The sequence below is a fragment of the Homo sapiens genome, chromosome 20 (genome assembly GCF_000001405.40).
Source record: "Homo sapiens chromosome 20, GRCh38.p14 Primary Assembly".
Lineage (NCBI taxonomy): Eukaryota > Metazoa > Chordata > Mammalia > Primates > Hominidae > Homo > Homo sapiens.
Genome location: NC_000020.11, coordinates 41,125,440 through 41,139,410, shown reverse-complemented (window position 1 = coordinate 41,139,410; position 13,971 = coordinate 41,125,440). Strand labels below are relative to the sequence as shown.

General features: G+C 49.9%; 2 protein-coding genes and 1 long non-coding RNA gene across 8 annotated transcripts in view, besides 10 other annotated features; 2 read left to right on the top strand and 1 right to left on the bottom strand.

Moving 5' to 3' along the window:
- PLCG1 (phospholipase C gamma 1) overlaps positions 1–1,868 on the bottom strand; it is a 40,084-nt gene extending 38,216 nt beyond the window's left edge. For all 6 annotated transcript variants that reach the window (XM_005260438.3, NM_002660.3, NM_182811.2 and 3 more), the window contains exon 1: positions 1,553–1,868. In XM_005260438.3, the coding sequence (XP_005260495.1) occupies positions 1,553–1,769 (217 nt within the window). In that variant the 5' untranslated portion in view covers positions 1,770–1,868. The remainder of the gene's footprint in view (positions 1–1,552) is intronic.
- Positions 751–830: an enhancer, noted in NCBI's record as "active region_17889". NCBI's record gives its function as "activates an Ori minimal core promoter by ATAC-STARR-seq in GM12878 lymphoblastoid cells {active_cell/tissue: GM12878}" and the evidence as "EXISTENCE:reporter gene assay evidence [ECO:0000049][PMID:35858748]".
- Positions 979–1,078: an enhancer, noted in NCBI's record as "active region_17888". NCBI's record gives its function as "activates an Ori minimal core promoter by ATAC-STARR-seq in GM12878 lymphoblastoid cells {active_cell/tissue: GM12878}" and the evidence as "EXISTENCE:reporter gene assay evidence [ECO:0000049][PMID:35858748]".
- Positions 979–2,598: a biological region, named in NCBI's record as "H3K27ac hESC enhancer GRCh37_chr20:39766267-39767051".
- Positions 1,000–1,784: an enhancer, noted in NCBI's record as "H3K27ac hESC enhancer chr20:39766267-39767051 (GRCh37/hg19 assembly coordinates)". NCBI's record gives its function as "activates a minimal SCP1, AML or CMV promoter by ChIP-STARR-seq in naive H9 embryonic stem cells {active_cell/tissue: H9 hESC(naive)}" and the evidence as "EXISTENCE:reporter gene assay evidence [ECO:0000049][PMID:30033119]".
- Positions 1,229–1,488: a silencer, noted in NCBI's record as "silent region_12916". NCBI's record gives its function as "represses an Ori minimal core promoter by ATAC-STARR-seq in GM12878 lymphoblastoid cells {active_cell/tissue: GM12878}" and the evidence as "EXISTENCE:reporter gene assay evidence [ECO:0000049][PMID:35858748]".
- PLCG1-AS1 (PLCG1 antisense RNA 1) overlaps positions 1,411–13,971 on the top strand; it is a 40,007-nt gene continuing 27,446 nt past the window's right edge. Inside the window, exons 1-4 of the long non-coding RNA NR_109889.1 lie at positions 1,411–1,697; positions 3,600–3,709; positions 4,119–4,272; positions 5,766–5,924. This is a non-coding gene — a long non-coding RNA (PLCG1 antisense RNA 1). The remainder of the gene's footprint in view (positions 1,698–3,599; positions 3,710–4,118; positions 4,273–5,765; positions 5,925–13,971) is intronic.
- Positions 1,609–2,598: a silencer, noted in NCBI's record as "silent region_12915". NCBI's record gives its function as "represses an Ori minimal core promoter by ATAC-STARR-seq in GM12878 lymphoblastoid cells {active_cell/tissue: GM12878}" and the evidence as "EXISTENCE:reporter gene assay evidence [ECO:0000049][PMID:35858748]".
- LOC124904903 (translation initiation factor IF-2-like) lies at positions 1,898–5,568 on the top strand. The gene is made up of 2 exons (XM_047440629.1): positions 1,898–3,709; positions 4,119–5,568. Exon 1 carries the CDS (start codon positions 2,072–2,074, stop codon positions 2,651–2,653), a length of 582 nt encoding a protein of 193 aa, XP_047296585.1. The 5' UTR covers positions 1,898–2,071; the 3' UTR covers positions 2,654–3,709; positions 4,119–5,568.
- Positions 2,569–3,353: an enhancer, noted in NCBI's record as "H3K4me1 hESC enhancer chr20:39764698-39765482 (GRCh37/hg19 assembly coordinates)". NCBI's record gives its function as "activates a minimal SCP1, AML or CMV promoter by ChIP-STARR-seq in primed H9 embryonic stem cells {active_cell/tissue: H9 hESC(primed)}" and the evidence as "EXISTENCE:reporter gene assay evidence [ECO:0000049][PMID:30033119]".
- Positions 5,114–5,163: an enhancer, noted in NCBI's record as "active region_17887". NCBI's record gives its function as "activates an Ori minimal core promoter by ATAC-STARR-seq in GM12878 lymphoblastoid cells {active_cell/tissue: GM12878}" and the evidence as "EXISTENCE:reporter gene assay evidence [ECO:0000049][PMID:35858748]".
- Positions 5,234–5,413: an enhancer, noted in NCBI's record as "active region_17886". NCBI's record gives its function as "activates an Ori minimal core promoter by ATAC-STARR-seq in GM12878 lymphoblastoid cells {active_cell/tissue: GM12878}" and the evidence as "EXISTENCE:reporter gene assay evidence [ECO:0000049][PMID:35858748]".
- Positions 7,277–7,326: a silencer, noted in NCBI's record as "silent region_12914". NCBI's record gives its function as "represses an Ori minimal core promoter by ATAC-STARR-seq in GM12878 lymphoblastoid cells {active_cell/tissue: GM12878}" and the evidence as "EXISTENCE:reporter gene assay evidence [ECO:0000049][PMID:35858748]".

Below are 13,971 nucleotides of genomic sequence, written 5' to 3'. Positions count from 1 at the left end.
CCAGCCAGTGCCACCAACTCAACACAGCATAGGGAGTAAGGAAGGGGACCATGCCTGGAGCCTGATGCCTGAGTGATGTTCCCAGGGTTATCTCAGCTCTTTGCAGTGTCGATTCTTCCTTTACTTTGGAATCCACAGGCTCTCAAGTCACTAAAATGTTCTCCCAATGGCTGACAGGGTCAGTGGGGGCACTGAGGAAGGGGGCTGCCATTTCTAAGTTGAGCAGCTGCATTAGATCTGTGTCAGATCTGGAGTTTGTAGCTGAGGATGGTTGGCTGCCTCACCACAAGACCTTCCTTCCTCCCAATCTCCTCAACTATCTACACACATGCACACCATACCCAAGAAGGTTTGTGGGACCCCCCCTTGGGGTGTCACTTCCTGATCTCCCTCCTTCACACAGACCTGGTTCTGAGCCTGGGTCTCTCTAACCCTAGTCTCCGGGGGTCCCTGCAAGAAGCAACCCAGTCTAGAGTTGCAGACACACCATCTCTTCACACTGAGAGGCGGGGGAATGGAGGGCAGAGCAGAGTGCCCATCCGACCACAGCACAGGCACGCGCTAAGTGGAACAACTCTCAAAGATCTGGGGTTTTTCAAAATCCCCCAACTCCCTCCTCCCACTAGAGACCAGCGCAAAAGCAGCCAAGCTCAGGCCTGGGAAGGCGAAAAGGCAGGAAACTAAGAGAAGCCGCTCCCGCTCCCTGAAGCCACCGGACAGAGGACAAAGGGCTAGACTCACAAACTAGCTGCACTCCTGAGAAGAATACCTGACTCCAAGGCGCTGGGGCAGGCCTTTATGGGGCCCATCTCCTGGGAACGTGCTTCCCAGGGCAAGGGGAGTCCCTGCCCTGGCATTGAGTGTCTGCCCACCCACATAGGCCTCCAAAACCCAGCTTTGGGACAAAAGTAGCAGAAAAAAAAAAAAAAAAATTCCAGCCACTGGCTTCTCTCAGGCTTCTCCAAACCAAACAAGACCACCTTCCTCCCTCTCCCCCAGAGGGAGATGAGTAGGCCCAGCTCTGCTCCAAGACCAGCCCTACCCAACATCTGCCTAAGTTCTACTTAGGGAACCCAAAGATTCCTTTGCAAATAAGAGCCCAGCCTGGGGGCCCGGAGAGTTTCACAGACTGCTCTTTCTGGATAAAGAGTGGGCGGGGACCGTCTGGTCAGGCCCCAGGTTCCCGTGCAGGGTGGGGGCCACTGCCTTAGCTCCCCTCGCCGACGCCGCCACCACTCCCAGGGTCTGGGGGGCCCGATGCCTGCACCGCAGGTCTCCAGCCCGCGAGGATTTTTAGGCCTCAGGGCAAAGCGCCTGGAACACTCCCCCCAGCTGGGGGAGGGGGGGTGTCCTGTCAGGTGACCGAGGACCCGGATGCCCCCCGCCCCCAGTGACCACCCGAGACGAAGCGGGGGCGGGGCCCGGAGGGAGTCTGGGAGGGCCCGAAAGTTTGCCCAAGTCGCTGGGGCGGCCGGCCGGGGTGCAAGCAGTCGGGCCGGGCTCCCACGACCCCCGCGCGGGGCGGGCCCAGGCAGGAAGTGGGCGCACTTACTGGCCCCCTCGATCTTGTCGGCGCCCCGGCTCCACGTGATCTGGCGCGTCTCCAGCTTGACCTGGAAGGTCTTCCGCTCGGGTCGCTGCGACTTCTTGGAGTAGAACAAAGTCATGACGGTGCCCACCTCGAGGCTGCGGCAGAGGTGCAGCACCTCGGCGTCCGAGGGCGCGCCGGGCCCGCAGCCGTTGGCGCAAGGGGACGCGGCGCCCGCCATGGCTCCGACGCTGGGGGCGGCGGCGGCACAGGCCAGGACCGCCCGGGAGCAAGCGCAACGGCGGCGGCTGAGGTTGGGGCTGAGGCTGAGGCGGCAGACGAGCGGGACCCGGCGGCGGCTCCTGCAGGCGGACACGGGGCGGGGCCTCAGCGCGGCGGGGCGGGGCTGCCCTGAGGCCCCACCCCGCTTCGGCGCCGGGAACAAAGGCGCCCGCGCACCCGTGGGGAGGACCCCCGCCCGTCGGCCCGCCGCGCCTGCGCCCCGCGACCCCCAGACAGGCCGCAGGCGGGGACGGAGGCGCGATGGCGGCGGGAGCGCGCGCCGTTCCCGGTCGACCCACCCAGCCCTCAGTCCCGCAGAGCTTTCTCACGCGGCCCCGGACACAGCCCGGCGGCCACGAGCGGCCCTGTCACGCACGGCAGCCCCGCCCACAGGCCGCAGGCCCGGCGGCCGGCGCGTCAGTCAGGCGTACTCGCACGGGCGGCCGCTACCCCGCGGTCCCGCACAGACGCAGCCCCCGCGTCCCGAACACCGCCCATGCAGCGACCGGGACGGGACGTGAGGGGATGGCGCGTCCTCCGGGAATGCCCGGCCAAACTCAGTTACCTGGGCGGGCTTCCCGGACAAGGGAGCCAGGACGGGCCGCCTCACACCGGCGGCGGCGGGTCCTCCGCGCGCCCTCTCCCGGGAGGGGCGGGGGCGGGGCTGCCTGCGGATTGGTCGCGGGCACTGATGGACAGCCGACATGTCCCGCCCCCCCGGCAGCGCGGGGCTGGTCCGCAGGCAGTTCTGGCGACGGCCAGACCCACGTCTGTCTGTTCCGCCCCTGCTGCCAGGGTGGCTTTCAGTGGTCCTCTCTTTCGGAGAGTTCCCCCCAAGCGTGAGCACCCCTTACAGGGGCGTTAGGTCCGCGGCCGCGCTGTCCAGTGGTCTGACCTGCAGCTCCCAGGGCCTTTGTGTCTGTCCCTCGCATGGGCCTCTGCACGCTCCGTCCCCACGCGACAGGACTCGAGTCCGATTCGGGGCTCCGACTCAGACCCTACCCCGCAGCGCCCTCCTGCAAATGCTCTCCTGAACTTTGGTTTTCCCCGCCTTGCTTTCTTCCTCCTCCTGTAGCCGCTGCCTCTCGATCTCAGAAGCTTCTCTTCCTCTGCACTCAGTGCTAGGCCAGATCCCAAGGCGACCTGACCTTTCCCCTGGCTTTGCCCAACAACACAGGCACCGGTGACTCCAAACCTGCATCTCCCCTACGTTCCAGGCCCCAGCATCCCACTGCATGTTCCACATCCCCCCCCCTTAGACAGCTCGCCTTCCCTCCCCAAACGATTCCTTCCACAGTCTTCACTTTCTCAGAACGCGGCGCTAAACTTCTCTAAGTTGGAAGGTCAAAAACCTTGCAGCTAACTTTGATTCCTCCCTTTGCCTCACCTCCAATCCATCAAGACCTTGTCACTCAGCCCACAAGCTGAAGGCCCCATCTCCTGTCACCCAGACTACTCACCTTGTTTGGTTTTGCCTGGATCTATCAGTTTGGTTTTGCCTGGATTTATCATGCTTTAAATCTTTAAAATGAAATTAAATCATGATCCCCTACATCCAGGCTAAAACCCTCCGTGAATTCCCATTGCACCTAAAATCCACACTCCCTGCTTGGCCTAGCAGGTTCTATATGACCTGCCCATCTCACCAGTTTCATCTCTCACAAGTGATCCTTCACTCTCCATTCTCCAGCCACAAGGCCTTTTTCTGGTTATGGAATATAATTCATACTCTTTGTCTTTCTGAAGCCATTCTTGAAACTCACCCCTGCAATCTATCTACCCTTGTCAGCACCGCCAAAATTGAGGACACCCACGGTCGCGGTGGAGCCTGTCTGACATGTTGAGCCAGGCAGTGGGTCGGCTGCCAGGCACAGCAGGACAACTTACTGCATTTCAGAGGTGAGAAGCCCAACAGAGCTTCCAGCTGATGCCAGAGAAAGAGCCAGGCTTCCTGGGAATTGTGAGATAGTAGGACTAGACTAGAGTTTGTAAGAGCGTGTGCTCAGGCAACCCACTCAGCTGGATAGTGACCTGGGGCTGCTGCTTCTGACTTTGTCTTGCTGTAGTGGAAACTTGTGTGTTAACGTTGATTTCCTCAAGTGCGTCCCCTAAGAAGCTCAGAATTCAGCATGACATTGAGACCCTTTGTCCTAGCCAGCCTCTGTGGAGTAAGGAGCGGTGGGGTAGCTGAGATGGACTGCCACCTAGTGGCAGGTCTTTACGTGGGCGGGACGGAGCTAGCGTAGACCCTGTGCTGAAGGTGTGCACCTGTGGTCACACCTGATCCTCATAATTATCTTCTAATCAGGAATGATGGTCCACAATTTACTGATGAGGAAACAGAGATTCAGAGAAGTTCTACAATTTGCCCCAAAGCCACATAACATGACTAGGTGGGAACTAGAACCCAAGTCGGCCTGACTCCATGAGTTTTCTGCCTCACAGGAGATCCACTGGCTTAGGTAAGTCCTGGTGGTCAGTAGTCAGTGGGCATGGAGGCTATCTGGTTAATCAGCATGGGTGAGGGGAGGCATGCTCACCGCTGGCCTTGGGCACAGGGAATCCAGCAGAACGTGAGTGCTCACAGAGTGTGGCTTGAACTGGCTTAGGCTTGAAGTTCTGTGGACCCTGCTCTTCTCTGTGTTGGGCATTGACAACATGAGGAGCACAAGAGAGACACAGCGCCAGCTCTCTGGGAGTTCAGACATTAAATAAACACTCTGTTACATAAAGACAATTATGATGAGGGCTAGAAGGAAAAACATTGGGTCGAGATCTCTTCAGACCTCAGCAGAGGTCTAAAGGAAGTGAGTCGATGGCGAGGTGAATTATTAAAGGTGGGTTGGAGAAAAGTACATTCCAAGTAGAGGTAACAGCATGTACAAAGGCCCTGAGGCCAGGAAGAGGTTGTTGAATTTAGGGTTACAAAGCTAGAGTTTCCTGACTGAGGAGGGGACAGGGAGTGATGAGACCAGGAAGGCAGACGGGGGCTGAATGGGGCCCCTCTCTGGCTGTCTGATCCTGTTTTGTACAGGAGGCACCCTCTTAAGTGCTGCAGCCCTCATTGAGCTTACTGTGCTGACTCCGGCAGCCTGTGGGCTCTGATGCACTTTTTACATCCGTTTCTCCATTTTTTTGGGAGCTTCCTAACATGCAGGGTAAGGCTTCCTTGCTTTTACTTTTGCCTCTGGGTCTGGACCTCTAGGGGCTCAAGAAATCCCTGCCAACAAGAGCTTGAGTTTTCAGCCCGTTGCCAGGCCTGTAATCAGGGAACAGGACCCATTTCCTCCTGGGACTTCTGGGCCAGCATCCCAGGCCTCAGGTGCCTCCTTCCACCAAAGGAGGTGCAGGAAAAACAGGGCATGCAGAGGGTGTGGTCTGTGTGGGCTTCCCCCAGCTCAGCATATATATGGGTGCGTGGGTGTGAATGGCAATACGTGCAGCTGCGCTGTCTGGGAGGAGCAGCCCAGCACCCACACAAGCACACGCCTGTGACGTCACCCATGCTAGCCCTGCTCAGGCCTATTTCTGTGAACATGCATGCTTCAGCATGCCCTGGCCTACACTGTACCTGTGCCCATGCCCAGAGTCTGGGGAGAGTCCCAGCCCAACTGCCCCTCGGGACCTGTGGGTTTGGCCTCACAGCTGTTTATTAAATGACCACTTAGAACAGTGGTTGACATATAGTAAACACTATGGAACTGCTTTATCCACATTGTCTCATTTCTTCCTCATTACAGCCCTATAAGTGCTCTTATTATCCCCATTTTCCAGATGAAAAAACTGAGGCACAGAGCTAAAAGGCAGGATTCAAACCCAGGTAGTCTGGCCCCAGAGTCAGTGCTGTTTTGCTTCCCATGTATGTATGAACACTTTATTGTATATCCTCTCTCCTTTGTAAAATACCCCTACCTGATATGTTTTCTCTCTTTTTTTTTTTTTTTTTTTGAGACAGAGTTTCTCTCTCGTCGCCCAGGCTGGCGTGCAATGGCACAATCTTGGCTCACTGCAATCTCCGCCTCCCGAGTTCAAGCAGTCCTGCCTCAGCCTCCTGAGTCTCTTTTGATTTGGTGCTGTCACAGGTTGGGTTCTTTGGATGTGGACTCTGTGACAGGTTAGTGTGCAGTATGTTTATTGGGGAGTGGCCCTGGGATCAACACTCTGGGAGGTACTGGAAAGAAACAGGAGTGGGCACAGGGAAAACTAAACTGAGATGCAGGCCTGATGACAGTCTCAGCCAACTCCCAGGATCTCTGTTGTCTGGCACTAGCCTGGAAAGGAGTTGTAATGTCCTGGGAAGAGCCTAGCCTGGGCCAGATGGCACTCTGCAGCCAAGATGATCTTCGAGGGGCTGACAGCTGAAGATTTTCTGCTGACAGCTCTCCCAATAGTTGGGTCAACAAGTCCTTCTTTGAAGGGGATCTGGGTGGCACGTTGCTATGTCTACCACAAGTGTATTCTTTTTCAGCCCTTTAAAAATGTTTTGAGTACTTAAAAATAGAGAATAAAATATAGAAATAGGAGATGAGATTATAAGGAGGAGGACGATAATATGGTTTATGGGTTAATGTAGCTGATGTGATTGAGAATTAAACATGGCTGAGCTTCCTGATAGCCAAAACAATAACACTTTCTATTCTGTTAACTGGTTCTTTGGAGTAAAAAAAATTTCTGGGGTTAAATTATAAAAGAAGTTTCTCACCTGGATACTTATTTAGTTGAAATAGTGGAGAATGTTCTCAACTGGTTAATAGCAAATGCTGATGCCGTTTTCATTTGTTCCTTGTAATGGCCTTGAGTGAATATCGAGGGCATAATATACAAGTATAGCTCAGTGAAGCCCTTTTCACATTAGAAGGGTGCAGATTTATAGTCTTGCAGTGTCTAATTTGATCCATGTGTAAAACATTGTCCTTTTTCTTTAAACCATTTTTTTTTTTTTTTTTTTTTACTCTTGTCGTCCTGGCTGAAGTGCAGTGGCGCAATCTCGGTTCACTGCAACCTCTGCCTCCCGGGTTCAAGCAAGTCTCCTGCCTCAGCCTCCTGAGTAGCTGGGATTACAGGCGCGTGCCACCATGCCCAGCTAATTGTTTGTATTTTTAGTAGAGACGGGGGTTTCATCATGATGGCCAGGTTGGTCTCGAACTCCTGACCTCAGGGGATCCACCCACTGCAGCCTCCCAAAGTGCAGGGATTACAGGCGTGAGCCACTGCACCTGGCCTAAACCATTCTTTAATTTTTACTCAGTTTCTCGTGTTAGACATCTGAACAGCCCCTCCTCTGGGTTTGTGAGCCAGCCTGCACCTCAGCACACAGCCAGTACTACTTGCTAAGAACTAACCTCAGTGCACCTTGAACTCCACCCACAACCTGCTGTTTAGGCTCCTGACCCCTGGCCCCCAAATCTATCTGTGGCTCCAACTTAGTCATCAGGCCTCACACTTCTTAGGTCATGTCCACCTGCTTTCCTCCTCACCTGGGTTGTGTTATCTGTCCCTCAAGAGCCTCGTGTTCTCTCTCAAGGCAAAATCACACCTGGCTCGGCTGCTCCCAGGGACTGCTGTCTCCATTGACCTTGGTGTATCTCTGCTGATTGGCCCCCATAGTGGGACCCAGATGTTGAGGTTCTCCAGCTGGGCTGCAGATGTATCTTCTTCTGAAAGGTGGCAGGGACACTGTGACTGCATCACTGAGGCAACATATGGCAATAAAGGAAGAGAAGGGGAAAGCCCAGGCCAGGGCAGACCTGCACTTTTCTGTTTTTCTCTCTCCTCCTTGCAACACGCTTCACGGATGCATCCTCTAGAGCACTAAGACAGCACAGCTGAGTCAGAACAAGTTCCCACTCCAGCAGTGGGTACAGAAATGCCAACAGACCATGACAATTCAGTGTGATGGGGGCCATTGGAGCACTGAGAAGGGACACTTGGCTTTACTGAAACCTGTTAGTGTCTGTGGAGATAGAGCAAAGTGAGAGACTGTATATGCCTGAAAGAGATGGCCACTCCAGATACAAGGCAAACACTCATTTTCATCATAGGGTCACTCCAAGTTGTTTTGTGGGTTGTTTTTTTTTTGCAACTAAAATATAAACTTTTTAGAGATGCAAATGTCCACATATAATAGTTTATTTAGCTACAGGTACATACTTTAAATCACATATTTAAAACAATATATTGATTCACGAACATTGATTTTCCCCACACTCACATTTTCAGTAAACTATATTCAACTCTTCACATGAATCTTGGATTTCTGTATTTTCACCATGAGTCGCTTTTTGAGTCATCTAATAGAATCTCTCAAAGCATATCATCACTTTCCCTCCCTTCTAAGTTGAGAGAGAGAGCAAACAACTTTTTTTTTTTTTTGAGACGGAGTTTCGCTCTTGTTGCCCAGGCTGGAGTGCAATGGTGTGATCTCGGCTTACTGCAGCCTCCGCCTCCCGGGTTGAAGCGATTCTCCTGCCTCAGCCTCCCGAGTAGCTGGGATTACAGGCCCGCACCACCACGCCCAGCTAATTTTTTATATTTTTAGTAGAGATGGGGTTTCACCGTGGCCAGGGTGGTCTTGAACTCCTGACCTCAGGTGATCCACCCACCTTGGCCTCCCAGAGTGCTGGGATTACAGGTGTGAGCCACCGTGCCCGGCCAACTTTTTTTACTTAGATTTTTTTTTTACTTAAAAAATAATTTTTGTTGAGGAATAATTTACATATAAAATACATCCATTTTTAAGTGTAAAATTTGTGCTTTGACAAATGTATACCCTCATGTAACCTCCACCCAATCAAGATAGAGAATATTTCCACCACCCCAAAATGTTTCCTGGTGCGCCTTCGCAGTCAGTCTCCTCTGTCCCCATCCAGCAACCACTGATTGACTTTCTGTCACTACGGATTAGTGTTGCCTATTCTGGAATTTCACATAAATGGAATCATACAGTATGTACTCTTGTGTCTGCGTTCAGCATAATGTTATTTAGATTCATCCATGTTGCTGCAAAGGGAATACTTTCTGAATTAGTATGTGATGTTATCACTGAAAATTGTAACCTAAGCATAATTACCTTTTAGTATAACATTAAGATGTTGCTTTTCCCCCCTCAATTCCTCTATGGATATATACTAATAATCTTCAAAATAACCAGTTACTGTATTGCTTTAAACATGTTATGAAAAATCTCTGCTGGGCATGGTAGCTCACACCTATAATATCAGTATCTGGGGAGGCTGAGACAGGAAGATTGCTTGACCCCAAGAGTTGGAGACCAGCCTGGGCAACATAGTGAGGCCTTGTCTCTAAAAATATAAAAATAAAAAAATTAGCCAGGCATGGTAGCATGCACCTGTAGTCTCAGCTCTTCAGGAAGTTGAAGTCGGAGGATTGTTTGAGCCCAGGAGTTCAAGGCTATAGTGAGCTATGATCACACCAGTGTACTCCAGCCTGGGCAACAGAGGTGAGACCCTGTGTCTAAATAAAAAAGACATTTTTAAAGAAAAATCTTGGCCAGGTACGGTGGCTGGGCCGGGTGCAGCGGCTCACACCTGTAATCCCAGCACTTTGGGAAGCTGAGGTGGGCAGATCACCTGAGGTCAGGAGTTCGAGACCAGCCTGGCCAACATGGCGAAACCCGGTCTCTACTAAAACTACAAAAAAATTAGCATTACAAGTGGCACATGCCTGTAATCCCAGCTACTCAGGAGGCTAAGGCAGGAGAATTGTTTAAACCTGGGAGGCAGAGGTTGCAGTGAGCCGAGGTTGTACCACTGCACTCCAGCCTGGGCAACAGAGCAAGACTCCATCTCAAAAAAAGAAAAAGAATGGTTTTAGGTCTAACGTTTAAGTCTTTAATCCATCTTGAATTAATTTTTGTATAAGGTGTAAGGAAGGGATCCAGTTTCAGCTTTCTACATATGGCTAGCCAGTTTTCCCAGCACCATTTATTAAATAGGGAATCCTTTCCCCATTGCTTGTTTTTCTCAGGTTTGTCAAAGATCAGATAGTTGTAGATATGCGGCGTTATTTCTGAGGGCTCTGTTCTGTTCCATTGATCTACATCTCTGTTTTGGTACCAGTACCATGCTGTTTTGGTTACTGTAGCCTTGTAGTATAGTTTGAAGTCAGGTAGCGTGATGCATCCAGCTTTGTTCTTTTGGCTTAGGATTGACTTGGCGATGCGGGCTCTTTTTTGGTTCCATATGAACTTTAAAGTAGTTTTTTCCAATTCTGTGAAGAAAGTCATTGGTAGCTTGATGGGGATGGCGTTGAATCTATAAATTACCTTGGGCAGTATGGCCATTTTCATGATATTGATTCTTCCTACCCATGAGCATGGAATGTTCTTCCATTTGTTTGTATCCTCTTTTATTTCATTGAGCAGTGGTTTGTAGTTCTCCTTGAAGAGGTCCTAGGCATTACCATTCAGGACATAGGCATGGGCAGGACTTCATGTCTAAAACACCAAAAGCAATGGCAACAAAAGCCACAACTGACAAATGGGATCTAATTAAACTAAAGAGCTTCTGCACAGCAAAAGAAACTACCATCAGAGTGAACAGGCAACCTACAAAATGGGAGACAATTTTCACAACCTACTCATCTGACAAAGGGCTAATATCCAGAATCTACAAAGCACTTAAACAAATTTACAAGAAAAAAACAAACAACCCCATCAAAAAGTGGGCAAAGGACATGAACAGACACTTCTCAAAAGAAGACATTTATGCAGCCAAAAAACACATGAAAAAATGCTCACCATCACTGACCATCGGAGAAATGTAAATCAAAACCACAATGAGATACCATCTCACACCAGTTAGAATGGCAATCATTAAAAAGTCAGGAAACAACAGGTGCTGGAGAGGATGTGGAGAAATAGGAACACTTTTACACTGTTGGTGGGACTGTAAACTAGTTCAACCATTGTGGAAGTCAGTGTGGTGATTCCTCAGGGATCTAGAGCTAGAAATACCATTTGACCCAGCCATCCCATTACTGGGTATATACCCAAAGGACTATAAATCATGCTGCTATAAAGACACATGCACACGTTTGTTTATTGTGGCACTATTCACAATAGCAAAGACTTGGAACCAAGCCAAATGTCCAACAATGATAGACTGGATTAAGAAAATGTGGCACATATACACCATGGAATACTATGCAGCCATAAAAAATGATGAGTTCATGTCCTTTGTAGGGACATGGATGAAACTGGAAATCATCATTCTCAGTAAACTATCGCAAGAACAAAAAACCAAACACCGCATATTCTCACTCATAGGTGGGAATTGAACAATGAGAACACATGGACACAGGAAGGGGAACATCACACTCTGGGGACTGTTGTGGGGTGGGGGGAGGGGGGAGGGATAGCTTTAGGAGATATACCTAATGCTAAATGACGAGTTAATGGGTGCAGCACACCAGCATGGCACATGTATACATATGTAACTAACCTGCACATTGTGCACATGTACCCTAAAACTTAAAGTATAATAATAATAAAATTAAAAAAAAAGAAAAATCTCAAATGTGTCTACGTGTATAGTATAGTGAATGCCGACATACCCATCATCTAGCTTCAATAATGAATTGGTGGCCACTTTTGTTTCATGCCAAATTCTACCCACTAACCCCTCCCATATTATTTTGACCCAAACCTCAACTCTTATTATCCATTACTATCTCAATTTTTCTAAAAGACTGTGTGGTGTGTGTGTGTATAGATAGAATCTCACTGTCACCTAAGCTGGAATGCAGTTACAGTCATAGCTCACTGCAGCCTTGGGCTCCGAGGCTCAAGTGATCTTTCTGCCTTGGTCTCCCAAACTGCTGGGATTACAGGCATGAGCTAACTGCTCCTGGCCTAAAAGACTCCTTTAAAAACATTTGTGTGGGCCAGACACGGTGGCTCACGCCTGTAATCCCAGCACTTTGGGAGGCTGAGGCGGGAAGATCATGAGGTCAGGAGTTCGAGACCAGCCTGGCCAACATGGTGAAACCCCATCTCTACGAAAAATACAAAAATTAGCTGGGCGTGGTGGCAGGAGGCTGAGACAGGAGAATGGTTTGAACCCAGGCGGCAGAGGTTGCAGTGAGCCAGGATTTCGCCACTGCACTCCAGCCTGGGTGACAGAGCTAGACTCCGTCTCAAAAAAAAAAAAAAAAAATTGTGTGTGTATACACACACACACACACACACACACACACACACACACAGTACAATTATAAAATCTAAAAAAGTCTTTGCTATTTAGTGATTTCTAAGAGGCTTGTCTGAATGGAATTCTTGGGATTGTGAAAATTACTAAGTCTGTGTTAAATTTCTTTGTCTCCTTGTTTACTGATTTTTGTCAGGGGACTACTTATAAGCATCCAAAACTGGCCTGACTGAGGTCATTTCAGGGTAATGTGTTTTCTCTAAAAAGTGCTTTTTGGTTCAAAACAAGTTGATAGTGTCTCATTATTTGAAGAATTTCTAAGGAGTAAAATTTTTTCAGAAAATAAATTTTATGGTATTGAGGAGATGATTTTGGAGTAATTTACTGGGTGTGGAAACGAGAGGAGTGAAGGATGGTGGCTACCCTAGTTTCTGGGTTGGGGGACAGAGGATCTGGTGCCTTTCCCTGAGATGTGAAGCCCAGGCCCAACAGGCTTGGGGTGGTGGGTACTGAGCTCAGTTCTAGAGACGCTGAGATTGAGGTGCCCGTAGACATGCCCTGCAGAGGTGTAGTTGATAATGTGAGTCTGGAGCTTAGAAAAGGGCTCTAGGCTAGAGAGAAAGAGAAGTCATCACCTTTAGGTGCAAATGAAATCAGCTATGCTGAAGTAAGAATCATGGCACTTAGGACCTGATAGAAAAGGTGACTCAGAAAAAGCCTGATAGGGACAGGAGTAAAACCAGGAGAGGGTGGCATTGTGAAAATCAGAGAGAAGGTAGTGGTCACCTATTGAATGATTCCATTTACATGAAATGTTCAGAATGCAAATTTAGAAAGGTTAGTGGAGGCCGGGAGTGGGAATGTGGATTAACTGTAAATGAGCATAAGGGATCTTACAGGGAGATGAAAATGTTCTAAAACTGACATGGTTAATAGTTGCACCACTCAGCAAAGTTGCTAAAAATCATCGTACCCTCAAAATGATGGAAGGAGTGGTCAACAGTGTCCAGTGCCACAAAGACTCTAAGACGCAGAATGGAGAGCCCATGTATTGGTTTGGTTATCTAGTCATTGGCGACATTGGTCAGAGTGAAGAGAAGGAATTGTGGGCTCATGGGACAGAAGCTAGTTGCAGTGGGTGGGGGAATGACTGGATGGTGATGACTTATTGCAGGTGCTTGTTTGGGAAAAAAGGGAAAGGTAGTGGCTGGAAAGGGCTGAGGGTTGTGAAGGTTTTTTACTTTTCATGTTTTAATGTAGCAGAGGTCTGAAATTTGACAGCTTTTGGCAGGGAGAATGGAGAGACAGGACTTGCTGGCCAGATTTGGGGGATGGGAGATGAAGGTGAGGTAAGAGAGGAGAAAAGCCAAGTCAGCACAGAGATATCTGGCTTGGGTAGCACGTGGAAGCCCTTTGCCCACACCGAACTCGGGCATCATAGAAAGGCCTGATGGGAGGGAGTTTCTCAGACCCTGCCCATCTGGCCTGTTCTTGGACGTGGCTGGAAGTAAAACCTACTGGACTAGGCAAGTGGATAAGTTTATTCTTGACTCCTGGGTTAAGCATCCTTCAAGGTCCTTTACATCTGGCCCCCACTTACCTGTTCAGCCTCTTCTTTCATCCCCAGTGGCCAGGTCAGCTTCCCATTCTCTGGCTTTGGTCTCCCAGGCCTGCTGCCACTGTCTGGGATGCCCTTCTTAGTTGTGTTGAGCAGCATCTTGTTGCCCAGCATCTGCCCTCAGACTTGCAAGAGAGGTCCTTGCCAGAGAGGTAGGCATTACTTCCTGTTCATCAGCAAGGTCTTCTGCCTGCAAGGCCTCCTTACCTGACTTCTAGTTTTGGACCAAAGGTTGTCCCCTAGCTGTGGCATCTGAGGTCCACTTACACCAACCTACTTACCTACCAGCCACAGTGTATCAAATGGGTACCAAAAGAGCCTCTCTGTTGTATTCCCTACATTCAGTGGCCCAGCTACCTCAACACAGAATTCAAAAA